The sequence below is a fragment of the Homo sapiens genome, chromosome 3, assembly GCF_000001405.40.
Source record: "Homo sapiens chromosome 3, GRCh38.p14 Primary Assembly".
NCBI lineage: Eukaryota > Metazoa > Chordata > Mammalia > Primates > Hominidae > Homo > Homo sapiens.
Window position 1 is genome coordinate 132,680,014 of NC_000003.12, and position 26,986 is coordinate 132,706,999.

Consider the following 26,986-nt stretch of genomic DNA (forward strand, 5'->3'; position numbering starts at 1 on the left):
TTAGTCACCTTGGGATCTAGCTAAAATACAGATTCATTCAGTAGGTTTGGGGAGAGGCCTGAGAGTCTGAATTTTTAATAAGCTGCCAGGTGGTGGTGACAATGATTTGTGGACTACCCTGTGAATAGTAACTCGGCCTTAAGAGAACATTAACCAAAACCTTAAGCTGAGCAAACTACTGAGCAGCAAGTATTGACAACATTTCAAGGTTTTGTTTTTTGTTTTGTTTTGTTTTGAGATGGAGTCTCACTCGGGCTGGAGTGCAGTGGTGTGATCTCGGCTCACTGCAACCTCCGCCTCCCGGGTTCGAGTGATTCTCCTGCCTCAGCTTCCCAAGTAGCTGGGACTACAGGTGTGTGCCACCACGCCCAGCTAGTTTTTTGTATTTTTCAATAGAGATGGGGTTTCACCGTGTTAGCCAGGATGGTCTTGATCTCCTGACCTTATGATCCTCCCGCCTTGGCCTCTCAAAGTGCTAGGATTACAGGCATGAGACACCGCGCCCGGTCCATTTCAAGTTCTAAAAAAAGTTCAACGTATTTCTTTAAAAATCATGCAAAACAGCCCTCTTGTATAAACTAGAGTGGGGAAAAAAGAACTTGAAATTGCACTTTTATTTTAAAACAGTGAAGTGTGGCTATTACATATTTCACTTTTACAATCAATACATGTTAGGATCTTACAAGTATTAAATTGATGATTTTATTATATATAAATACACAAATGGTCCAAAACAATATCTAAAATGTTGCAATATTTATAAAATCCATAAAAATATTTAATTTTCAGTATGAAAATGGCATACTAATTTGAGTTTGAGGTAAATGAAGAGACAGATTTAGGCCATCTAAGAAGGAAGATAAAGGAGAATGTCATATCTATATTTTGGGAAAAGTCAAAGAATGCTAAAGAGCTTGACCTGTTACTGCATTAATGACTTCAGACATTATGCAGATACATATACTATATAGTAATAAATAATACACAATGTAGACAGAACAGAAAGCAGAGGGACTGGACCAATCTGCTCAAGGAAAAGGTAAAGAATTTTTTAAAGTGCAGCAATCAGGGATTCTTGTGACTAATGTGTTTCACTGAAGACAATTTGAATCGTTCATAAACATTAACCCTTTAATCCTTGAAACTTTCCTTTGAGGTAGAGAATTGGGCCAGACTACTGCTGAAAAGCAAGAGGAATGGCAAGGCTAAAGTAGCTCTTGAGAGCTCAAAAGAATCATGGAATTCTTTTTTTTTTTTTTTTTTTTTTTGAGACAGAGTCTCACCCTGTTGCCCAGGGTGGAATGAACTGGCACAATCTCAGCTCATAGCAACCTCCACTTGCTGAGTTCAAGCGATTCTCATGCCTCAGCCTCCTGAGTAGCTAGGATTACAGGCATGCGCCACCAGGTCCAGCTAATTTTTTTTTGTATTTTTAGTAGAGACAGGGTTTCACCATGTTGGCCAGGCTGGTCTCCAACTCCTGGCCTCAAGTGATCCTCCTGCATCACCCTCCCAAAGTGGTGGGATTACAGGCATGAGCCACCATGCCTGGCCAAGATTCATGGAATTTTTGAACTCCTTGTCTTAACTACTCTGCCAGCTCTTGTTGAACAAAGACCAATCCGCTCTTCATGATTTGCTCCTCATGTCTTCTTATAATTCTAATGTGTCTACATCCTTGGATACCATATAATAGGAAAATTCTTTTAAACAACTAAAACAGACATAATCACAATTCCAACTTAATGTAATCCAATACAACTTCATACAAATAGCAGTTAAATCACACGTAGTAAAATTTCGTACAACATTTTTTTAAAGTTTCAAATTCAAATGTTCCAAATGTTTAATTATTTTGTCTTAAGGTACATTTGCAAAGAATTCTAACTGCTGCTATTACCTTTGTCCTTGCTGAAGGAAAACATTAGGAGAATGAGCTGTTTTTAAGCTAAACGTGTCTCCACTTGATGAATGGCGTGAAGGAGCTTTTCCACCCAAGAGTGATGTTTCTGCTTCTTTTATTTCCATTGCCCTTTTGTATAATTCAGCAGCTTTTTCAAAATCTCCTCCTTCATAGCTTTGAGAGAGAAAACAAAAACTCTTAAAATGAGAATATAACCTCTTACCAATTCAAAATGACCTTATGGGATACAGAAAAAGAAGCTGTAAATATTTGCCCATTTCCCCTCTTTTTCCAGTGTATTCACTCAAGCAGACCAGTAAAACAACACCCAAACTCTTCTCCTTTCTACCAGTATCAGTATTTTTGTGTCTCATATGGATATCATTAAAACCATGTTGTAATAGAGGCAGTGAAATTGCTAAGCAAAGTTAGGTATTCTCTGCATCCTGAGAAAAATACAAATGAGCAAGCAAAAGTCAACATATACTTAATGGCAACTTCACTCTGGGGACAGCAAATTACCCATATTACTCCCAGAGCCAGATGTAGTATAAACCATCCTTCACTGTTTGCCATGATGCATACATATGCTCCTCTGCAAAATAGATCATGCAGGCTTCATTTCATTTCTGGATACTACTTCAGTACTTCTTGAAGTCAGTCAGCAAAAAACAACCCCTCCCCACTCTAAGAAAAAACATTCAGTAATACATATTTTGTGCTATTCTAAGACAAAGCTACTTCGAATAAAAGAGGCTGTATAAGGAAAGTGAAAAAAATTCTTACCTAAGCACAGCTAAATTTTTCAGTGTTTCTCCAACTCGAGGATGCATCCGACCCAGGCTATCTTCATAAATCTTTAATGCTCTTTCATATAATGGCAAAGCTTCAACGTGTTTTTTCTTATTAAAAAAAATGATAATGCTCATGCACACTGGGTTTCTGAAATTAATGTATTCTAGACTAAGCTAACCTACTTTGATTAGTACTTTAAAATGTTAATATCCTCCTAAAAGATGGGAATAAACAGATTAACTTATGAATAATCATAGGAGAAGCAGTATAATAGAAAGTCAGATACTTAAGATTTAGACCTGGCTTGGTAACCATTTGACCATAATCCAATACTGTAAGCACAAACCTGTTCCTTTATTGCCCAATGGCTCCCCCACCTGATTCTCACCCATCATAATCAAATGCCACAGGCTTAAATACTTAAATAAATATTATATGGAGGGATGTAGGGTATCTCCAGAATTTTAGAAACTAAGCCTATGCTCTGAACTAACAGTGTTTTACACTAAGAGGAAGGGACCTTCATACAAGTCTAACTTCAATAGTTTCTCAAGTACTAAAGGAAGTATTAGAAATATCCTTAAATTGTCTTTCATTCTATTTAGTGTTCCCTATCTAATTCATGTTTACCTATGTTTTATACCATAAAATCATTCACTGATACAACGTTAAAATATGGGAACTTACCATTTGGCTATAAAGAACAGCTAAGTTCACCAAGGCAGTAGCTACACTAGGGTGCTTTGGGCCAAAAGATTTCTGTCGAATTTCAACAGCCAATTCATACAAAGGTACAGCTTTGTCAAGTTTCCCCTAAAAAACAAGAGTTAAATCTAACAAAAATATAAGGCAATAAATACTATCTTATCAGAGCTTTTTCCATAAGTAAAATTTCATATTAAAGGGTAATTTTGAGGGAAAAAAATCTCAGAAGCATTTCCTATCAGCTTAATGATTAAGTTTATAGATAACTGAAAATTTAAAGCTACACTGTATAGAAAAGCATTTTTGATAATTCAGAAAACCCTTTAGGATCATCCACTATTACTGTTTCTAGTGTAGTAAAAACATATCAGCTGAAGTAGATTTACTATTGCACATAATTTGGAGACTGCATCAAAATAAAAAGCTCATTTCTTGCCAAATCCCTTCCAGATTTTTCTAACTACTTCACTTCACCTGAAAGTTGGGCAGAAATAGCAGCAATGTACCCTTCTTACTAAAACAACTTTGGTGTCAGGATGACCAGTAATGGACCCACAAAGTCTAAAGACAGTCTACAAAGCTCTGTAACTATGCTAAATGAAAGCAGGCTTCCCTGGAATTTTTTCTTTTTTGAGAACAGCTATAAAAATCCCAAATATCACTCAGTATAGAACCCTATGGCAAACAATGGTTACATTTAATTACAGGCAAAGCCAAGAAAGAACGAAATAAAAATGTTCATTTAATCAACTACAAAGACATCTCCTGATTTCTTATGTTTATGTTGCTTTACACAGCAAACTTAATATTGGTGGAATTTTAGAACTTCTGAAATGTAAAATAAGTTTGAATTAGAATGCTAATAAATGCATTTGTACTTGGAATGTATTTAACAAAACAAACCCAGCATATTAATTTACTAGTATATTATTTCAGAATCAAGAATCAATGTAACCAGTTCAGTATAAAATAATTATTTTTAAATGTTCTGCTCAGTTACTTGTTAAAAGTTAAATCATGATTTTTAAAGCTCATATAAACTAACCTGTCCCTCATAAAGACAAATTATTTTGCTGATAGTAGTTATGGCTTAACTGATATGTTATAAAACATGTAAGAATGTCAAAGCTTACTTACCATTTTCTTATACAAGATGGCAAGATGCTTCACCGTATATGCCAAAGAAGGGTGATCAGGAGCTAATGCACGTCTCCGAATATCTAAAGCTCTTTCATAAAGTTCTTCTGCTTTATCATACTGTTTCTTTTCATTGCATAGAGCTGCCAGATTATTCAAAGACTGAGCACAGTCAGGGTGATCTGGTCCTAGAACTCGCTCCCTCATTTCTAAGGAACGCTTCAGAAACTGGTCAGCTGTTCTGTGAACACAATCCCAAAATGGCTTAAACTATCTATTTTCTAGAGTTTGGAATCCTGACCCCTAAATTAAGTGGAGAACTGACTCATCTTTATTCTTAGATTCTAGTTAAAATAAGAGATTCAGCTCAAAATCTTACTTTCCCCCTCTTCCCCACCCCTATCTCTTCCTGCCCTTTTCCTGACAGTTTGAGGGCCTAAAATGTGTGGATGATTGCCTCAATTCTCCACTTCTGAAAGAAAAACTGATAGATATTTTCCAAAACAAACTTTTATACTTTAAAAATTATTAGACCTAGGTCCAATAAAAGATTTTTGTATTCACTCTTCCTCCCTTTGGAGTTAGTACTAAATAATTTTTATTTCTTTATTTTGTTTTTTTGTATGTGTGCGTGTGTGTAACCTTGAACTCCTAGGCTCAAGTGATCCTCCCACCTTAGCCTCTCAAGTAGCTGGGTCTACAGGTGTGTACCACCATGTCTGGCTAATTTATTAATTTTTTTTGTAGAGACAGGGTCTCACTATGTTGCCCAGGCTGGTCTTGAATTCCTGGCTTCAAGTGATCCTAATGCCTCAGCCTCCTAAAGCTCTGGGATTACAGGCATGAGCTATCATGCCCAGCCAGTACTAAATAATTTTTAACAAAAGAATAAATCATTATTTTTTATATAAGTTTCTGTAAGTGGGCTACAGATTTATTATACTTTTCTGACATCCAAAGTTTCAAATTTGTTATATTTTTCTGATATATGAAGTCCAAAAATACTTTTTATAACATATAAATATAAATGTCATTTTGAATCCTTTTGCCCAAATAAACTGACAAAACTAGAAACCGTCTACATTATTTACCATTAGTCCCAAGCTGCTGCTTCTGTGAGATCTTATGCACAATATCTACACAAACTCACTTTTCATAAATATATAAAATACACCAGGGAAGCTACAGAATAACTTTTCAGTTAAGAAACAATGTGGGCCAGGCGTGGTGGCTCACGCCTGTAATCCTAGCACTTTGGGAAGCCAAGGCGGGCAGATCACGAGGTCAGGAGATCGAGACCATCCTGGCTAACACAGTGAAACCCTGTCTCTACTAAAAATGCAAAAAATTAGTCGGGCGTGGTGGCATGCGCCTGTAGTCCCAGTTACTCAGGAGGCTGAGGCAGGAGAATAGCTTGAATGGGAGGTGGAGGTTGCAGTGAGCCGAGATCACACCACTGCACTCCAGCCTGGGCAACAGAGCGAGACTCCGTCTCAAAAAAAAAAAAAAGAGTGTGAAAAGAAACACAGTAGAGAAAATGCCATGGTCTTTAGGTATGTGTATGCTCATTATATAACATCATACATGAAATTTTGCGTGGTTTTTATCATTTTTTTTCTAGCTTTAGACTTGACAAAAATGTAAAACAGCATTGCATCAAAGAGAAAATGGTTAATTATTTTCATTATTAACCCCATGGTACTCACTCCAGGTTATTTTGAAGATAGTAGAGAACACCCAGTTCATTGAGGGTCCGAGCATTATCAGGTGTGTCCTTACCTAATGTAAGCTCTTCTAACTGTAAAGCCCGTCTACGTAAAAGGGCAAATCCGTACTGCAGCAAACATGAAAAATGAAAAGCAATCACTAAGTAGGTGCAATCCTTGATTCTGAAACAATATATGAGGGTCCTAAAAAATCTTCCTTTTTTCCCATTTAATCTAGATAACTATTATTTTAAGCATCACACTAAATTAACTTGATGATTACAAATACAAATATTTCCACATGGCAACACATTCTAAAATTCATTAAAAACTATTTCATGAAAATGATTATATTTTAGAAAGTAAACTATATCTCAAAGTGCTTCAAGAAATAATAGAATATAATTAATTTGCAGATATTTATCAACCCCATAGGTAAACACATAAACATCAGGTCCATAAAAATGCACACAGCATTTTAAATTAAAGAAATATGCTACATTTAGATTTTATCAGCAACTTAAAAAAATTAAAATAACTTTTATTGTGTATTTGAGGGGAAGGCTTTCTTCACATTTGAACATAACACAAAATGTTAACTAAATTTATTTTATTCCTTTTTCCAACCCTTTAAAGAACTGAGGTAGCTTTAAATTCCGTCTTTCAAAATCTAACCTTCAAATGAATTTAGAGTTCCACTTTTTAAAGTCTAAATTGTACTTCTCAGTAATATGATATTTTAACACATAAATAAGAAAATGTTAAGTAGTTCTCTTCTAAAAAACTAGAAGATTTTAAAATCTAAAGCTCTTAAACATGTGGGGTGTATGCATTTATGATGCTCTTTTCCTCTTACGTTCAAAACACAACACAAAAGAAATCTCTCCTTACCAAGTTGCCTTTTTTCTTTATAGCTTTCTGATGAATTTTAAAGGATTTTTTCCTAAAATGTTCAGCTTGTTCATATCTTAAAAAAAAATTACAGTAAGTCAAACAAAAGAAACATATTCAAAGTATACTTCAGTGAAATGAAAGCACTCTTTTCATAGTGTAAAGTCTTTTTGGGCTATTAAATACAGCATTTTTTCTAGAAATGATAGTCATGACATTAAGAATCTCTAAAAACCCTTTCATAAAACAAAATATGACAAAACACTAAGATATCTTAGTCTATCATGGATGTTTTTCTAATAAAAAGTTCTGTTCAATTAAAAAAATTTTGACAAAACAAAGCAAGTCTAGTCCTTTAAGTAGCTGACATCTGATCATCTTTAACTAATTTAACTCATCCTAAGTCTCTGAAGGGCAACCTAACTAAATGAAAAGTCAAAATTTCAGTTTTCTATAGCACACTAATAATTTTTAATTAACAACTTTTTCTGCACAGGCTAATTTCTGGTCAAGTTTAAATGTGAAATTCACACAAAATTTGTACGAAGCAATACTTCTATAAGTTAAAAAATTCCATTATGTATCACTTATGATAGAGCAAAAGAAATAATTTTTAATAGAGGAAGAGATGCCATTCATTGGGTGCCTGATAGATAAGAAAGACTTTTTATTATACCAGAGATTGGCTTTTTCTATAACGGGCTAGAGAGTTAATATTTTAGGCTTTGTGGGCCGTGTGCTTTCTGTTCCAAGTGAGGAACTCCGCCACTGAAGCACAGAAGCAACCATGGATAATATATACATGAAAAAAATTTGGCTGTGTTCCCTTTAAACCTTATTTACACAACTGGACTTGGCCTATGGGCAATGGTTTGCTGGCCCCATAAAGGTTGAACATCCCTAATCTGAAAACCCAAATTCTGAAATGCTCCAAAATCAGAAGCTTTTTGAGTGCTGTCATGATGCCACAAGTGGAAAATTCTGCACCTGACCTCAAGTGATGGGTCAACTCAAGCCACAGTCAAAACTGTGTTTTATGCACAAATTAAAACTAGTACACAAAATTACTTTCAGGCTATGTGTATAAGGTGTATATGAAAAATACATTTCATGTTTAGACTTGGGTCCCATCCCCAAGATATCTCATTATATATATGCAAATATTCTGAAATCTGAACAAATCCAAAATCCTGAACATTTCTGGTTCCACATTTGGATAAAGGATACTAAACCTATATTAGTAAAGCACTCAAAGTTAGTCAGTGAATGAGCCAGGATTCAAACCCAAGACTATATGACTCGAAAGTCCATGTTCTATCCTTCATGCATCTTCAAACAGAGATGAATCTTATAGTTCTCATTTTCTCTGTTTACCACATGAAGACTAGGCACAGGGTAAGGAAAAGTACACAGTGATAAAACAAAGCTTACCCTATAAGTACACTAAAACTGTAATCCCCCTGCATAAAATCAGGTATTACTGATCTAAAAAATCTTACTTATTTTGTTTCTGGTACAAAGTTGCAAGTGCTTCAAGTTCACGAGCAGTATATGGATGGTCCGCACCATAAGCATTTTCTGAGATTTCCAACGCCTGTTTATACAGTTGTTCTGCATTGCCAAACTTCTTCCACTGCACGTATACACTTGCTAGTTGGTGGAGGGACTGGGCTACTCTTGGGTGATCGGGATCTAAAGCTGTTTCTCGAATCTCTAAAGACCTCTGCAAAGGTACTATGGCCTGGGGGGAAAAGGGGTGAAAGGCCAGTTAAAGTGAGTGAAATGCTGCAAGATCTGTCATCTGATTAAATATTAAGGATTATAGCACAACAAATGAAAACCACATTAACATCTTGGAAAAAGAGAAGAGTGAACACAAAAATCCCACCTGTCTCTGGCTTGCCATTGATCTGCTGAGCTTACCTGACTGAGAAGGCCTAGATCCTTGAGAAATCGCCCCAAGGTTTCATAAAGATCAGCTAAGCAACTCATGTTGTCCTCGCCTTCGCAGTTTTTCTCATACTGCTTCAATGAATCGAAGTATTCTGTTGCCATTGCACTTTTGTCTTTGCCAACAAACTGCCAATAACTCAGCAACTCAGCAAAGTGTCCCCTGTTTCAACAAATAACAGTACTTTAATGAAAAACACACTTTAAAATCCATTACAGAATCAAAACTCCAGAATTAATATCAAGTTATTGACAATTTATTAGTAGGCGAGTACTGTGTAATGAGGTAAGACTCAGACCACTCACTATCTGAATTCCACCACTATCCTAGCTATGTAATCTTGAGCAGGTTATCTGACCTCTTAGACCTCATCACCTTCATCTGCAGAAATGGAGACACTACCTGCCTCAGCTGGTACTGTAGGGGGATTATGGCACACAGTAAGTACTCCACGGTGTTGGCTGTTATCCTTAATACCATCATGGCTACTTACCAATGGGAATCTATCTGAATCCTTTTTACACATTTCACAATATGGAGCCAACCACTGAGTTCACTCCCAAAATTATTTTAAGTATGGAAATTCAAAGAGAAGAAACTAATAAAAAATAAACTGTCACAGAGTATCTACTTTGTATTTTCATCAAGAAATTGAATGACAAAAGTAAGCTTATTCATCTGTAGGCGATCTTAAGTAGTATGGGGCTGGTAAACTAAAAAATATCTGATTTCAAAGGAATCATGAAAAATTGGAATGGAGATCAGAAATAAGAGATGCAACAAATTTGAGAGAGTTTATGTAGGAGCAAAATAAATTATGATACTTATTGTATAAGAAATGTCTAAATCTCTAAGTAAGGCAGAAAAAAACCCTCATGAAGCTTAGTAGGTTAGACAGTTGCCTCATAAAAAGGTAGTTCTGCCACTGACAAACTATAACATATCAAAAGAGACAAACAGAATACATTTTTGAATTAGGGTAATTCTTTCTTTAAATTCAACACCAGACATAGAAAGTAAACAAACAAACAAAAACAAATAAATTCAACACCAGACAGATTCTACTTGGACCCGAGTCTGGTTTGAAGGCTACGCTTTCAGATATCTGAAGGCCCAAAGAAGCAGACATTACGAACCACCTCTCTGAGTGGTTTAAATTTAGACATGCTTAAATGTAAGCATAAGATAAAAAGTTGAACCGAAATCATTCCAGCTCTGATTTCATAAAGCAGCAGTACTCTATGTTTTCCTCTTGGGAAAAGCAGATCTAATAGAGATTTGTAAATTGTCTCAAGATTTCTCCTACACTATTTGTATTTCAGATACTTAGACTAATTTTTAAATTAAAAATACCATTTTTTCTTTGTTAAACTGAACAACTTTAAATCTCTCTTTCTGGGGAAAGATGTTCTATAATGTTTCTTACCTTTTATAAAGGTTTTGAGACACAAAGAGATTAAGAAGGCAATCATGCAGCTTCTGTTTACTTCCCTGCTGCTGAAAAAGCCACGGGAGTTCATCTGCACTTCTCCAAGTCACTCTGTCCTGACTATCAAAAGAGAGGAGACAATATTCAATATCTTCCTACAATGAGACTGCTTCAAAAAGGCTTCAGGCAAATGTCAAAGGAAGAAAAATATTTAACATATATCTCTGATTCTTTAAGTATAATTTAATACTAAAAAAGTTAGGTCAAAATCAGAGACTTTACCAATCTAAGAAAATAAATTCAGTGATATGCAGAACCATCAACCAAACTCTAAAAGTATTTTCCTAAAATTGAACTATTTAAAAAAACACTCAATGGACCCGTATATACACATACAGATACATGGACACAAACTATTGGAATAAAATAAAAATAATAAAATGATCCTACATTGATTTTCCTTGTTTAAACTTTTAGCATAATATTAAAAGACAAAATCATCTTTTGCTCTTTTGACATTAACAGAATAGGGAGAGGATTTAATCTTTTTTGTAATAATTAAGTTTTTGTACTTTAAGTTGTAAGCTAAGAAACAGAAATAAGGACACAAAGGTAGTGTGTTGCAGAAGTTACAGAAGAACAACAGGAACATTTACAATACCTTAGCTGCAAGGTGAAATAGTTGATTAGCTTTTGCCTGTATGAAGAAGTAACAGTGGGGCCTTCCAGGTACTCCAATCTCACTGTTTCCCAAGCCTAGGGAGAAAAAGAAGAAATACTGAGTTCTATTTCACGTAAGTCACTGTACATCTAACAAGAGATTTGCAAAAAAGAATTTATAATTATTCCTATTTTATAGCTGTATAATAGAAATGTCACTTAAATGTTTTTAAATTTAGGACATATTTATTTGATAAACTGTTACTAGAATAAAAATTTCTGTACTAATATTTATAAGCTCAAAACACAATTTAATTCAAACTTTAGTTAATACATTAAAAATCTCAGAAGTGTGGAATGAAAAGTTACTAAAAAGAATAAATTATATTCAAACAATACACAATAAAGAAAGGAAAAAGGCTGTGAAATTGCAAACATTTCACATCTACAAATATGATACAGCATACTCAAATGTAAGACTTCATTTACAATTGTATATATATATAAATCAACCATGGCATTGCAGATGATAGGAATTATTTTAGCCAAAACTTCCTAAAGATTTACTTCTATGTGCTAAACATCTTTCTAGTACCTCACAAGGACCAAGAACGACCTCAATTAATTTGCTTCACAACCCCTTTCATAAACTGCCAAAGTCCGCCTGGGGCTTAGATCTTGCCCAAGTTTAGATAGGCATTAATCCATGAAAAGGAGGCTGACTGGCTTACAGAGTCCAAACTCTTAATACATATACAGTCATGTGCACATAACAATGTTTTGGTCAACAACAAACTGCATACATGATGATGATCCTATAAAATTATAATGAAGCTGCCCTATACAGGCATACCGTTTTAAAACTTTCATACCACATTTTTACTGTAACTTTTCTGTATTTAGATACACAAATACTTACAGTTACACACAGTATTCAGTACAGTAATATGCTGTGCAGGTTTGTAGCCTGGGAGCAATAGGCCATACCATATAGCCTCCATGTGTGGTAGGCTGTACCATCTAGATTTGTGTAAGTACGCTCTACAATGCTCACACAATGATACAATCACCTAATGATGTGTTTCTCAGAACATATCCCCATTGTTAAGCAATGCATGACTGTATAATAATACCGCAATTCAATGAAACATAATTGAAAAAGACTTTTTTTCTCTTCAAGAAATAAACTACCTTTAAGAAACTTTTTTTGATCTTTTGTGTCTGACTTATTTTTTAATTTTAAAAATTGTATTGTGGTAAGACCACTTAACGTGAGATCTACCCTCTTAATAAATTTTTAAGTGTACTACAGTATTGTTAACTATAGGGACAATGTTGTATAGCAGATCTTTAGAATTTATTCCTTTGGCAGAAATAATCTTGCCACTGCACTCCAGCCTGGGTGACAGAGAAGACCCTGTTTCTTAAATAAATAAATAAAAAGATGCCTAAAATAACATTACCTGCAGATGTTGAAACCTAAGCAAGCCACATCCATAAGTCAACAAACACATTTTGTATAAACTGTGAATAAGGGAGGTCAAGAAAGTCCAGGACATCTCAGGATAGAGTTCCATCAGTTCTGATTCACTCACACCATTGTGACTAACATTGACAAGGCAGAGGATCTAGGTAGAAAAACAAATTAACAGTAATCATAAAGCACCTGTATAAGTAACTAACGGCCATTAAAAGTTCCATAATTCTTTTAAGGCTATTTCTTTTTACCAAAACTTATAATTCAAATGATTTAATAAATCAAGAAACAGATTTATTAAAACACACTGTCCAAAAGACATTAATGAAGATTAAGATAGTGTATATATAAAATCTAGCACACCAAAGATAACACTCTTACAGAAAAAAGTACAGTGAAAATTAAAACTGCATAAAATGTATTATTATAATTAATGGCAGAATTCCAATTCCAGGAAGACAGTGGAAGAAAATAGCCCTCCTATTATAAACACGTATGAATATCAGACACATTTCTAAAAGCACAGTTTTTAGATAAATAAAGGGAAATCCTCCAACTGCCAAAAATGAATAGGAAATTGAAGTCAGAGTGTAAAGGGCTGGAACTGCTGGCTATGGGGGCAGTGGAGCTAGAGGACAGGCAGCATCCCCCAGTAAGAGCTCAGGTTTTCACAGCCACAGTGGGATGGAAGGTGAGCCCTTAAGCTGTGTGAGGCAAGGAGGTAGAATTAGATTTCTTGTCAACACCAGGATCTTTGAAGGGCTTTGAAGGACCTTCACCCTCAGTGAAGGGGTGCATGAGAAAAACATTAGCCCACAGACGTGGAGAGAATACGAGGAAGCTTGTGGGCTTGGAGTGGGCTGAGAAGTCCAAACCCTGGGAACCACCAAGCTGAAAAGTTAACATAAAAATAGATCCAGGTTCGGCAGGGCGCAGTGGCTCACGCCTGTAATTCCAGCACTTTGGGAGGCCAAAGTGGGCAGATCACGAGGCCAGGAGATCGAGACCATCCTGGCTATCACGGTGAAACCCCATCTCTACTAAAAATACAAAAAATAAGCTGGGCGTGGTCGTGGGTGCCTGTAGTCCCAGCTACTCGGGAGGCCGAGGCAGGAGAATTGCTTGAACCCGGGAGGCGGAGCTTGCAGTGAGCCGAGATCGCGCCACCGCACTCTAGCCTGGGCGACAAGGCGAGACTCTGTCTCGGGAAAAAAAAAAAAAAAATGAGGTTGCTAGATATATATTTTCAAAAACCAAAATTGAATACATCAACAAAAAACTACAATGTTATTTTAATTACATAGCACTTAATTCTAAAAATATATATATGGAAAATTAGACAAGGCAATTGTGAAGGATAATAATAAAAGGAGGTTTACCCAAGTAACTACCAAAGCTTACTTTAAAGTTCTAACAACTAAGCAGTATGGTACTGGCAAATAATAGGCAAAATCAGAACAGAAGAGCCTAGAAACAGACCCACATTTATTTGTGAGCTTGATATTTGTCAGTTGGCATTGCAAATGAGCAGAAGAGATGTATTATTTAGTAAAAAGAACAATTAATTATCCATATGACAGAGGATTAAAAAATAGAATCCTTCCTCACACAATAAACAAAAAGATATCAACAAGAGTTAAGGACTTCACACACGAAGAAAAAACTATAAAACTTTTTGAAGGAAATTATGTGTGTGTGTGTGTGTGTGTGTTTACACACACACACACATATATATATGAAACAAAGCTTTGTATAATGAATGAAACATAATGAATGATACCATACAGTTAAAAGACAAGAAACAAACAGGAAAAAGACATTTATTTGCAAATTTTCTAATAAAGGATTTGTTTTCAGTATGCAGAACATTTAAGACACCTACAGATCGATAAGGAAAAGACAAATGACCCAATTAAAAAATGGGTAAAGACCTGAACCAGCAATTCAGAAAAAAAGGATAGCCAATAACATGAAAAGATGATAAATCTCAATGATAATCAGGTAAACACAAATTTCCACAAGCACACTATGGCTATCAGCATTCCTGCATATGCCTGAAACATATTTAAGCACAAATTTTAAAAGAATTGTTATTTATTTCCATTCACACACACACAAAGCAAACTAACATTCCTTTTTATAAGTTTATTACATTCTACCTGCTTCATTAGCTCTTTATCCACATCATTTGCCATGGACTCCCGGATAGAGTGCAGAACAAGTCTATATAATGAAAGAGTATCTTGACACTGGAAACACTGATGAAGGATTTTATCTAAATTGCCTGCTCTCCCAGCACTGTTGGAATCGAGAAGAGATTTAATTTCTTACAGATTGCCAACATCTGTGAAAATTTTGAGATCGATTAAAAACAACGTGAACTCTATTTTTTGTACTGCAACCAATAACAAATTCAATAAAACATGATAAAGGAAAGTGGTAGTTTTATGGGGCTGCTAGAGTCATTGGGTTTATTTTACTATATATAATTTAATTCAGTGCAATAAACATGCTGAAATCTATTATTTGTTAAGCAATTACTATGCATTATGGAACATAAAAATGAGTCAGACACGGTTCTTATTATCCAGAAGCATGCCACCTACATACAGGAAGCAGGGAAACGATGATAAGTATTGTTAGTTAGCCATGCAAATTAAATTTGTGTGGAGCCAGAATTTTGAAAACACAAGGCTAAAGAAAATCATTAAATAGGGGGGTATGTTTTAAAAGATTACACAATATTTACCAGTTTTTAAAAATAATATAAAGATGTACAAAGAGAAAAAACAAAGGGTCCATAGTCTCTTTAAAATAGGTACTTTCAAAAATAAAAACAGTAAAATACTTTCAATGAACATTATTAAATGTATGAAAAATTACTCACACTCTTGAATCATACTCATTGTATCACTGATGTTCACAGAGGCCAGATGTGTTGCTACAACTAACAGTGGAAAAGGACAGTGGAAATATCACAGGCAGGCTGGGTACAGTGGCTCACATGCTGTAATCCCAGCACTTTGGGAGGCTAAGCAGGTGGATTGCTTGAGCCCAGGAGTTCAAGACCAGCCTGGCAATCATGGCAAAACCCCGCTTATACTAAAAATACAAAAATAAGCCAGGCATGGTGGTGTGCTCTTGTAGTCCCAGCTACTCAAGAGGCTGAGGTGGGAGGATCGCTTGAGTCTGGGAGGCAGAAGTTACAGTGAGCCGAGATCAAGCCTCTGCTCTCCAGCCTGGGCAACAGAGAGTGAGACACTGTCTCAAAAACAAAAACAAAGATGAAATATCATGGGCAATGTAAAGTTTCAGAAGATTTTTTTATTTCAAATTTGGTTCTCAAGATGAGAACATGGAATAAAGAGACAAGAAGTACTAGATTCGGTGTCTGGAAATATGTGTGCTAGAATTGCCATCTATTGCAATGAATAACAAAAAATGTATTAATCTTTTTTTTTTTTACCTCAGATTGAGAAAAGACAAAGTAGAGTGATGCTATACTGAAGAAGAAATAAAAGTAGTAAAACATTCTAACGGTTGAGAATAGATAGAATAGGGTAAAGCTATACTGAGGAAATAAAAGTAGTGATACTCTAATGCTTATCTAAAGGCAGATTACTAATGGATATCTAAAATAGAACTATTTTTATAATTAAAAAGTTTATCAGGACTTGAGAACAGAGACAATTAAAAATTCATATCCATATATCTACCTCCTGATATTCAAAGATACCTGAAATAATATTGTAACCCTCAGTTGTTTCCTTCACTTTCCCAAAGCTAGGGGCCACAAATGAGGGTGAGGATGGCTTTCTTTTGCAACCTCCAATAGGGAACAGATTAGTGTGAAGAAAATTAGACAAATCTATCAAGTTCTGACAATCATGGACAGTAGGCACCTGTAAGCCATGTTCTCACAAATGTTAGTATCACTATTCAAATAAAATCTGAGTGGCTCAACAGACTGGTGTAGTGATCAGTTCTCAGTTTTGCAGGGTGAGAAAGGGTCTGCAGCAAACACAAAACATGCAGAAGATCATGTAAAATAATCACCACTCACCGCGCGATCATTTTGCCGAAAAGGGTGACATAAAGGGCATTGCAGGTTGTAGCAGAACGACAGTGTCGTTCTAGCTTCTTCTCCTGCACCAGTTTACCAAGAAAAACAAAACAGAAATACAAAAACCACCCTGGAATTAAGCGGTCTTTACTACCCAGCCATCAACAAGTACCCCGACAGAAATAACACTATTGCTGCCATCCGTGACATCACAACATGCAGTGGTGGCTCCTCGGCTGTGGGCAGCCTTCCAACTGCAGACCACAGATATGGCCAGTATGAAAATGCTCTTTTGCTTTTAAAATACCTGCTTAATATTATATACTAAAGTCAACCTTAAGACCAAAATCTTTTTATTGCTTCTTTTCTACCTGTCATTAGTTTAAGAGGCAATACATTTACCAAAGTAATTACTAAACTCCAGTTTTCCTTATAACAGATCCCCTATATTGAATTTTAAGTCTCACATAAGATGTTTCATAGGAAAGATGAGAGAGTAAAAGATTGCATCAAAATGAAAAATACACACCTGCTCTTTACTCAATTTAATGTCTACAGAGTGGCATTCTGCAATTATAATAGATTTTGCATCTTTTGGACTTAAGGGATCAAGATGAAGTGTAGGCCACAACCTTTTATGTAAAGAAAAGAAAAATGAAATTTTAATAATACAACAAGAACTGTAATTACCCATAACACAATTTAAAATCCACCACAGGAATTAACACTTTATACTGCTTTTGTAAAATAAGCAAAACTAATGTCTATTAATCATATTAAGTAATTAATATATCTTATTCTAATATGTGTATCATTACTTTGAGCAATGAATCACAACAAACAGTGTTATAAAATAAACAGTATATACATTAGATAGTTACATGGTAAAACATTTCTAGTTCTATGTTCCATACTATCAGTAAAACTAAGCATAGGTATGAGTATCTATGAGGAGTGGCATCAGACACAATTATTGTCCACAAGCACTTGTAATGCAACTGAAATTTAACTATTACAATATACATTCTTGATATGGTACTGAAAATTGCATTTGTGGGGGAGTGAAAAAACTTACTCTTTTTATGTATAAAGTACACATAGACACATATATCTATATACACAAGCTGATATACAATATGTGTGTGGTATTAAAATTTCTTGGGGGAGGCAATTACAAATAAAATGTCTAAAATGGCTCCTTATAGGAGCAAAAACAGGTTGAGAAACACTGCTCCATGGGATCCAATTGCTCTACTTTTTTTTTTTTTTGAGGCAGAGTCTCGTACTGTTGCCTAGGCTGGTGTGCAGTAGTGCCATCTCGGCTCACTGCAACCTCTGCCTCCCAGGTTCAAGTGATTCTCCTGTCTCAGCCTCCCAAGTAGCTAGGATTACAGGCGCCCACCACCACGCCTGGCTAATTTTTTATATTTCTAGTAGAGGCGGGGTTTCACTGTTGGCCAGGCTGGTCTTGAACTCCTGACCTCCCGATCCACCCGCCTCGGCCTCCCAAAGTGTTGGGATTACAGGCATGAGCCACTGCGCCCAGCCATTTGTTTGTTTTTTGAGATGGGAGTTTCACTCTTGTCGTCCAGGCTGCAGTGCAGTGGTGCAATCTCAGCTCACTACAACCTCCACCTCCTGGGTTCAAGCGATTCTTCTGCCTTAGCCTCCCGAGTAGATGGGATTACAAGCACCCGCCACCATGCCTGGCTAATTTTTGTATTTTTGGTAGAGATGGGTTTCACCATGTTGGCCAGGTTGGTCTTGAACTCCTGACCTCAGGTGATCCACCCGCCCTGGCCTCCCGAAGTGCTGGGATTACAGATGTGAGCTACCATGCCCGGCCACTCTACTACTTTTTAAAGAACCATTAAAGTGAGCTTGCATTTCAAAATAACAGGTGTCTATTATTCCCAGCCCGGCCCTTTCTCTATTTTCCTCATCTATAAATTTAACTGCCTACTAGACATCGTTACGTGGAGCTACTCAAACTAACCATGATTAAAAACTAAACTCATCACCTTTTCCCCACAACCTGCCTGTCCTTTGTGTTTCCTATTTCAGTTCATGAAGCTACATTAATTAATTTCTCAAGTCAGAAACTCCAGAATCATCCTGGCTCTTTCTTTTCCCTTGCATCCCAGATCTATCTAACCTCCCCCCAAATCCCTTTTTTTTTGGAGACAGGGTCTCCCTCTGTCACCCAGGCTGAAGTGCAGTGGCATGATCTCTGCTCACTGCAACCTCTGCCTCCCAGGTTCAAGCGATTCTCCTGCCTCAGCCTTCCAAGTAGCTGGGATTACAGGCATGCGCCACCATGCCCAGCTAATTTTTGTATTTTTTGTAGAGACAGGGTTTCACCATGTTGGCCAGGCTGGTCTCAAACTGCTGGCCTCAAGTGATCCACCCGCCTTGGCATCCCAAAGTGCTGGGATTACAGGTTCACACCATCTATACAATTCTATAGATTGTATTTTTTTTTCATAAATTCACCCACTTCTCCCCATCCTCACTGCAAGTTACATAAAAAATGTGAAAACCATAAATGCATATTAAAAATCTTTCCTTGTTTGTACTTAAAACATTTCATGTACTCTGAAAGAACTAAAGTTGGCATCGTACCTCCATGCTGGAGGGCATGTTTCTACATTCACAGAAACAATTACTCTTACATTCACTGGCAGTGGATCTATCAGCCATTTCATGTGTTTTTCAACTTGCTTAAAAATATAAAAACAAAATTCAATCTATTAATCAAAATATTTCAAAACAATCCAATAATAGCTCCCCAAATAAAATGAAATTCTCATTAAGTTTATCTTATTAAGGATAAAAATCTTATTTTGGGGTGATTTATTTTAGAATTTTAAAAGAACAAGTAGCAAAACATTATTATCACCAATCTGAACTCTGGACACGTCAGGAAATGTCAAGGCCCTAAAAATATGTCAGAACGAATAGTCTTTGTTAATTGTGTAAATTCAGTTGGTCTTTCTTAATAAGATATTAGTGTCTGTGGGCATACGATATATTTTTTTAATCCATGTTACCTCCCTAGAAATAAAGCAGAAATATAAAAAATAACATCATATTTTCTTCTCACAAACATATAAATGCCTGCTCTAGCTATTACTGAATTTACATCTCTTTCTGAGCATATCAATAGGTAACAAATGGAAAACGGTACCTGAACTTGATCTATAGAATCAATAACGATGATGATGCTGCCTTGATGACGAGCAGAGAGTTTTTCCAGCCAACGTGGAAATTCTTCCAGAAGCTTAGCAGGATCCAGTGTCAGAGCAGAGACTGACCAAGAGTGCTGCATCAACTACAAGATAAGAACACACACAAACTGAAGTAGTTACACGTAGTTACTGAAGTAGTTACAGAGCTGGGGGAAATATTTCTATTCTTACTTTTTTATAAACCAAAATCAAGTCACCAAGAGGACCCGATTGTATCGAATATTATTTTTAACCTTATATAAAACCAAAACAGGTGGATAATACTGAAAATTGGTTTACCAGTAGGTACTTATTAGTCCCAACAATTTCTGAATCTAAATAAAATTCTGTAATTCCAAAAGATGGGATACTATACCTTTAGAGTTAGTCGTTTAATAATCAAGGAGGACTCTGAGCTGGTTGACATGGGCCTTCCCACAAAATGGGAAAGAATCAGTGTGTTGGGGGAATTCTTCTGTTGTAATTGAATCCTGAAAGAAAAAGACAGAACTTTTATAAAACCGATAAAGTTCCTTGACTGTCAATAAAAAAAGAATTCACAATGCAGTAAACATCAAATGTTGCCTAACTGAGCAATCAGGTGGTCAGTTACTTTTAAATAAATATGGAGATTTCTGTTTTTACTCCACTTTTAGATCCTTCTAAATAATCTTTTAAAAAATTGTAGATTCATTTTAATTACAAATAGATGTTAATTAACAGAAACCAAAGTACTTTACATATGAGGGTAAGGTATTAGTAAAACAAGCATTAACTTTTAATTAAAAATTCCTACTAGAGGAAAATTTGTTAGATACAAAAATATTATTTTCCAAACATAACTTTAAATAAAAGGGTAATAAAAAGGAGACAACTACATATGCTAACCCTTCAATATAAATAATTATGAAAGAAAGAAAATATTTTTACTGCTTGTTTTTAAATAACATAATGAAATAATAAAGTTTATTAGCTTATATGAACCTTAGTCCATAATTTGAAGAACTAGATTGCATTCATGGTGAAGATTATCCTTAATTTTGATGTTCTGTAGAATGTATTTCACTCTAACTAGTATGCTTTTGTCGTTTCAAATATTTAAAGTATCAATGAAACTTTTAAATAAAGGCAATAATTACAAATAAAGGCACATTACAATCCACTTAATAACATGTGTTATATGACATATCACATATGATCACTTCCTTACAAAGCACTCCCATAGCTGTTACTTATGTGATTTATATACATAATCATAAATGTTCATGCTTCCTATTCCTTTCTCATTCTGTGTCTTCTCTCTAACATCCAAATTCTATGCATTTCAGGGCATGAACCTATTGTTTTATTCCTTTTTACTTTGTTAATGTTTAGTGTAGGCCGCGCAGGAAGGCAGGCATGCAATACATTTTGTTGAATAGATTCAGTAATTCAAACAATGACAACAATAATTTAATTGCACTGCATCATACCACTTTGATAAAAGAAGAGACTTCCCAGAACCTGGTCCTCCAGACACGAGAAGAGGTGGAATCGGGGCTGGTGCTGCCACTAGATCATTAAGGCGTTGGTAATACTAGAAAAAAAAATGAATTTACATTGTAAGGAAGCACATGCCTCTGAGACTACTGAAGAGTCAACTTCTGATTATTCTTTGAAAATACTGGAGAAAAGCTGTGTGAGAAAATGAAATCTATTTTTAGTGACAGCACCCTCATAATTGCCTACTTTTATGGCTGGCAAAAACATGACTGAACTAGTAAACTAAGAATGGGCCTCAAATGGCTGGGCGCGGTGGCTCACGCCTGTAATCCCAGCACTTTGGGAGGCTGAGGCGGGTGGATCATGAGGTCAGGAGATCGAGAACATCCTGGCTAACACGGTGAAATCCTGTCTCTACTAAAAATACAAAAACAAAATTAGCCGAGCGTGGTGGCGGGCGCCTGTAGTCCCAGCTACTCAGGAGGCTGAGGCAAGAGAATGGCGTGAACCCGGGAGGTGGAGCTTGCAGTGAGCCGAGACAGTGCCACCGCACTCCAGCCTGGGCGACAGAGCAAGACTCCGTCTCAAAACAAACAAACAAACAAACAAACAAAAAATGGGCCCCAATTTCTTCTACATGTAGTATTGCTGTAAATTAATGGGTAAAGGACAACATTTCAGGTCCCTGTGGGGTTTTGCAACACTCAAATGTTTGCAGAATGTTTCAGGGAGCTCACTGTAGCCCCCAAATCACAGAAAATACTGCAGAAGACCTTGAAGGTACTAGCAGACCACCTAGATCTCCTGGTCAGAGGAATAAACACCTGTCCTGGGAATCACCTCAGTTTCTGGGGGTGAGAAAAGGTCCAAATAACAGCAGGTTTTGTCTGGGGACTTGGAGTCTCCCAATCTGCTCAAGACAATCAGGTTAGCCTAGGCTGCCTGAGATCTTTTTGAAACTAAGTGAGTTCAGTGTAAAGTCCAAGAATTCCTATTTCCCAAGTTTTCCCCAGAAACTCAAAACTGGTTCAAAGCTAAAAAGGACACACTCAAAAACCAAAATATCTTAGTACTTATTAAGGAGTTTCAAAAATTATCTTGAGACTTGACTTTTTCTTCAGTGTACCAGTGGTCTAAATGATAGCTGATGAGGAATTTAAAAAAGTGTATAGTAAGTAGTTTGCAGCCAGCTTTAGGCTTGCTTTAGAATAACACAATTCTCCAGCAACTATAATGAATTACTTGGTATAGTTTTTCAATCAATTTTTCTACTTGTTATATTTAATTAACAAGCAGAAAAATTATATCTCTAAAGAATATATTCCCCAGGAACTCAAATAATTCAAATAGAAATGATACTTCTGAAGGAGAAAAGAAAGTCTTGATTTACTACCTCATAAGTCCTAACAACTTAGTTCATGGTCCCACAGAAAGCCCATTTATAGGATCCATGCTTCCCAGGTTAAGACCCATGGCTATAAAAGAAAAACCATAGGATCTGGAGCCAGAAAAGAACGAGGTTCAACTCCCAGATCTGCAATCTACTCACTGTGTACTCTTAGGCAAACCCTAATCTGAACCTCAGTTTCTTTATTTATAAAATAACAATAGCAATACTTCTCATAAAATAACGACTAACATTTATCATGGGCCAGGTACTGTGCTAAGCACTTTATGTGCATTATCTGATTTAATCCTTGCAACAAGTACCTATGAGGTAGGTACTATTAGTTATTCTCATTTTACAGCCAAGAAAGTCAAAGTTTAGAGTGGCCAAGTAACTTGAAGAAATCTAGTTAGTAAATGATGGAACCAGGACATTAACGGACAGTCTAAATTCAAAAAGTTCTGTAAAAATACAACTGTTAATATTAGCTACTATAGTATTCTTTAAAATATTAGTTCTTACATTAATTTTTAACTATTATATTTTTTTAACTTGCACATAGATTTCATTGTATATTTCAAGTTCTGATAATTTGTTTAGATATTTAAGGATGTTGATAAGACTGATAAAGAAGGACTTATCTGCCTATTTCATGAACTACTATGCTTTGTTTTCTGAATGTAATATTTTGATTCAAGAATTGGAAGAACAGAGAGACTTACTATTCTTTTTTTTCTTTTCTTTCTTTCTTTCTTTTTTTTTTTTTTTTTAAAGACAGGGTCTTGCTCTGTTACCCAGGCTGGAGGGCAGGGGTGTGGTCATGGCTCACTGCAGCCCTGACCTCCTGTGCTCAATTGATCCTCCCACCTCAGCCTCCCAAGTAGCTGGGATTACAGGTGCATACCACCATGCCTGGTAAACTTTTGTATTTTTTGTAAAAACAAGGTTTTGCCATGTTGCTCAGGCTAGTTTCAAACTCCTGGGCTTAAAGCAATCTGCTTGTCTCAGCCTCCCAAAGTGTTGAGATTACATGCGTGAGCCACTGCACCTGGCCTCAGCCTTACTATCCTTATCAAGTTTCCTAGCTATCCTAATCCTGGTCTGAGTGAGTTGCAGATGGTAGCATAATAAACATGTGGTTGATAAATTCTAGTCCATAACTAAAAATGTTCGGTCTTTATAAGCACATTTGAATCTCACATATCTTTCTTATGACACAAACCTAAGCACATCTCAACATGGATAATCAAGCCATGAGATTAGACAACTAATATAATCATAAACCTTAACTATATTTAGATGAAAATACAATCATAATACAGCCTTTAAGTGGTGACAGATCTTTGTTGCAATAATACTCCAAGCACTTACTTTCTCAAATCCCAACTCATGGGCTGAATTAGAAGCCTGCTGAAAAGTTTCCATTTGCTCTTGTTCATCATGTATGTCCCACAGAACATCACCAAAATCATCTTCTTCTGGAATGGAATCCTCACTGCCCAAATCCTTAGTCTCCAAGTCTGTGTTCTCAAAACCCAGTATGTCCTAAACACAAAGAACAACCACACAAAAATGAATGAAGAAAATAAAGATCTTACAGCGGGGTCACCCAGGCCCAAAGTGGGCTTCACCTACTTTTGGGAGGGCAAGTTCAAACATACAGCCTTTGTATAATACCTACAAGAATAAACTGATAACTACAAAAAAATCACTAATTTAAAAACAAAGAAATAAAAATATTAAAATAATAGAAATGAATACCTCTTTTTATAAAAATAAAATTAAAGGAATATTTGAATCCCATGGAATTTGTTTTCTGAAAAATGTTACACAACATTTTGGTTGTATCTGGCTGGTGAATAGTTATAAAGTACTAATGGCTAGGAAATATGCTATAAGAATTGAATTACTAAGATGTGATTTCTTGATCTCAAGTATCTCTGTGGTCATATTCAGTTTTTATATTAGGTTACTGAAAATATGTTATCCTTCAAGCACTAATGATGGTAAGTACATTCACTTTCACTTGCTGCCATTCATTCTGCTCAATTAATTTATCTTGGTCCTAAAATTTGCAAGATTGTGAAGCTCAAATTTGATAAAGACAATCTTTATACTAGAGAGCACCATACAAAATGTGTTGCCAGAGGTCATATCATTTTGGGGCTCACTCTTTTTCTCTAATAATAAATCTTCAAGCTTCCTACTTCTCAAATAGGGTTTTTGGTTGGCTGGGGGAGGTGTCAGAAGGTGTGGGCAACCACAGGCTAAACATGGTACATCTTCCCACTGCGCCCATTCTGTTTGAGGGAGAGGGGAATAATAAATAATCACTATTACTATTTTTTTCTAATATATAATTTAAAATTTTTTTATATTAAACACAAACATAGACATAATATCAGGCAGAATATATAACTCACATAAATTTTCAAGATAGCACATGAAACTTCATAGAGACTTCCAGCTCAAGGCCCCTCCCTGGTCCATGTTCTCACCCCCCTGGAGGCATGCTTTCATCCCCCTCTTCTGTTAGGGATAACATGGGGGGAAAACCTGAGAGAGACTTTCCTAATATATAAAAATTCAAAATTCACAGAGGAGCCTCCCTATTGAATAAAATGAACACTTTCTCTTAAATAGTTTTTGGCTAGCACTTTTGTAATATGTTTTACACTTAGGTATTGAAGCATCAAATAGTCCTCTGAGATAGATGAGAGATAAAGATATTAATACATGGTCCTAGTAATACTAAGAACATACCACAGGATGGACTCCCAACAGAAACAACAGCGCCTTCCTCAGGTACTGTGTTCAAAAAGACAAGCAAGTGGTTTTCTCTGGAAAAATCAATTTCATAGAAAGTGATCTTAAAATATTTTAGATGAAAACTTACAGAGAATGCATATTTACCTGTTTAATAATCTTTTCTACACAAATATAAGTTTTATATACTCCTTCTGCAGGATCTCCTGAGTGATCAATGATCTAGATAAAAATCATTTAAGAACAATGAGAAAAACCATAATATCAGAAGGAAGTGGTGGTAAATACTTTTATACTGCTTATGTGACAGGAACTATTCTAAATATTTAACACATATTAGCTAATTTATCTTCACAACAACCTTAGGAGGGAGATACTATTATTATCCCCATTTTATAGAAGAGTAAACTGAGGCAAAGTAAGTAACTTGTCCAAGGTCACACAAGGGATTTAGTGTGAAAAATGGAGCAATAAAACAAGAAGTAGGCCAGGCGCGGTGGCTCATGCCTGTAATCCCAGCACTTTGGGAGGTCGAGGTGGGCGGTTCACGAAGTCAGGAGATCAAGACCATCCTGGCTAACATGGTGAAACCCCATCTCTACTAAAAATACAAAAAATTAGCCGGGCGTGGTGGCCGGTGCCTGTAGTGCCAGCTACTCAGGAGGTTGAGGCAAGAGAATGGCGTGAACCCGGGAGGCGGAGCTTGGAGTGAGCTGAGATCGCTCTACTGCACTCCAGCCTGGAAGACAGAGTAAGACTCTGTCTCAAAAAAAAAAACAAAAAACAAAAAAAAAACCAAGAAGTATACATTTTTTTTTTGCTCTGTCTCCAAATTTTCTCTTATGTATTTCCATACCACTCAACATATTTACCCTTCAAAATGCATCAAAATCCAATTTTATGTCAATAAAGCTATAATTCTATAAAAGACAAAAGCAAAATAGTATACTATGTAGTCTCACTGAGCTGGCTGAAAGAAGAATGCCCAATCTGTAAGAACATGTCTACTACTACTACTAATATTTGATACAATTAGAATAAGGCAATGATTTTACAATACATACCAAGTGAACAAGCATGGAGATTTACCCTACATTTACATTTATAATCATGGCAGAGAGATCTTATTTCACTCCTATTTTATAAAATAAACTCATCCTTCCAGCATACTAAATTTTTTAAAGTAAAGGTTATAGAATAAATAGAATAAAAAAGATAAATTAATATCTTTTTTGTGGGACGTAGTGGACTAGGCTGATACTACAATAATTAAAACAAAGAATGAAATGGCTCTGGAAATTATAATAAAAATGCACTTCCTTTTTGTCTTAGTCTCTTTAGTTTTATGTGTCATGCTGCTCTCAAGCTATCTTTTCAATACTAAATGATGGAAAGAAAAATGCTTGT

At 35.8% G+C, this 26,986-nt stretch overlaps 1 protein-coding gene and 1 long non-coding RNA gene across 2 annotated transcripts in view, besides 2 other annotated features; both read right to left on the reverse strand.

Annotated features, from left to right (window-relative positions):
- NPHP3-ACAD11 (NPHP3-ACAD11 readthrough (NMD candidate)) overlaps positions 1–26,986 on the reverse strand; it is a 164,322-nt gene that overhangs the window by 121,876 nt on the left and 15,460 nt on the right. The window contains exons 8-26 of the long non-coding RNA NR_037804.1: positions 25,727–25,801; positions 24,185–24,358; positions 21,417–21,520; positions 20,321–20,435; positions 19,905–20,048; positions 17,247–17,349; positions 16,718–16,800; positions 14,814–14,952; positions 12,641–12,805; positions 11,179–11,273; positions 10,515–10,637; positions 9,061–9,250; positions 8,637–8,878; positions 7,138–7,213; positions 6,247–6,374; positions 4,541–4,781; positions 3,386–3,511; positions 2,690–2,805; positions 1,901–2,077 (exon numbers count right to left, since the gene is read on the reverse strand). This is a non-coding gene — a long non-coding RNA (NPHP3-ACAD11 readthrough (NMD candidate)). The remainder of the gene's footprint in view (positions 1–1,900; positions 2,078–2,689; positions 2,806–3,385; positions 3,512–4,540; positions 4,782–6,246; positions 6,375–7,137; positions 7,214–8,636; positions 8,879–9,060; positions 9,251–10,514; positions 10,638–11,178; positions 11,274–12,640; positions 12,806–14,813; positions 14,953–16,717; positions 16,801–17,246; positions 17,350–19,904; positions 20,049–20,320; positions 20,436–21,416; positions 21,521–24,184; positions 24,359–25,726; positions 25,802–26,986) is intronic.
- NPHP3 (nephrocystin 3) overlaps positions 596–26,986 on the reverse strand; it is a 41,801-nt gene continuing 15,410 nt past the window's right edge. Inside the window, exons 8-27 of the mRNA NM_153240.5 lie at positions 25,727–25,801; positions 24,185–24,358; positions 21,417–21,520; positions 20,321–20,435; positions 19,905–20,048; positions 19,340–19,437; positions 17,247–17,349; positions 16,718–16,800; positions 14,814–14,952; positions 12,641–12,805; positions 11,179–11,273; positions 10,515–10,637; positions 9,061–9,250; positions 8,637–8,878; positions 7,138–7,213; positions 6,247–6,374; positions 4,541–4,781; positions 3,386–3,511; positions 2,690–2,805; positions 596–2,077 (exon numbers count right to left, since the gene is read on the reverse strand). Coding sequence (NP_694972.3) covers positions 1,897–2,077; positions 2,690–2,805; positions 3,386–3,511; positions 4,541–4,781; positions 6,247–6,374; positions 7,138–7,213; positions 8,637–8,878; positions 9,061–9,250; positions 10,515–10,637; positions 11,179–11,273; positions 12,641–12,805; positions 14,814–14,952; positions 16,718–16,800; positions 17,247–17,349; positions 19,340–19,437; positions 19,905–20,048; positions 20,321–20,435; positions 21,417–21,520; positions 24,185–24,358; positions 25,727–25,801 — 2,718 coding nt within the window. The 3' untranslated portion in view covers positions 596–1,896. The remainder of the gene's footprint in view (positions 2,078–2,689; positions 2,806–3,385; positions 3,512–4,540; positions 4,782–6,246; positions 6,375–7,137; positions 7,214–8,636; positions 8,879–9,060; positions 9,251–10,514; positions 10,638–11,178; positions 11,274–12,640; positions 12,806–14,813; positions 14,953–16,717; positions 16,801–17,246; positions 17,350–19,339; positions 19,438–19,904; positions 20,049–20,320; positions 20,436–21,416; positions 21,521–24,184; positions 24,359–25,726; positions 25,802–26,986) is intronic.
- Positions 13,016–13,517: an enhancer, noted in NCBI's record as "H3K27ac hESC enhancer chr3:132411873-132412374 (GRCh37/hg19 assembly coordinates)". NCBI's record gives its function as "activates a minimal SCP1, AML or CMV promoter by ChIP-STARR-seq in naive H9 embryonic stem cells {active_cell/tissue: H9 hESC(naive)}" and the evidence as "EXISTENCE:reporter gene assay evidence [ECO:0000049][PMID:30033119]".
- Positions 13,518–14,017: an enhancer, noted in NCBI's record as "H3K27ac hESC enhancer chr3:132412375-132412874 (GRCh37/hg19 assembly coordinates)". NCBI's record gives its function as "activates a minimal SCP1, AML or CMV promoter by ChIP-STARR-seq in primed H9 embryonic stem cells {active_cell/tissue: H9 hESC(primed)}" and the evidence as "EXISTENCE:reporter gene assay evidence [ECO:0000049][PMID:30033119]".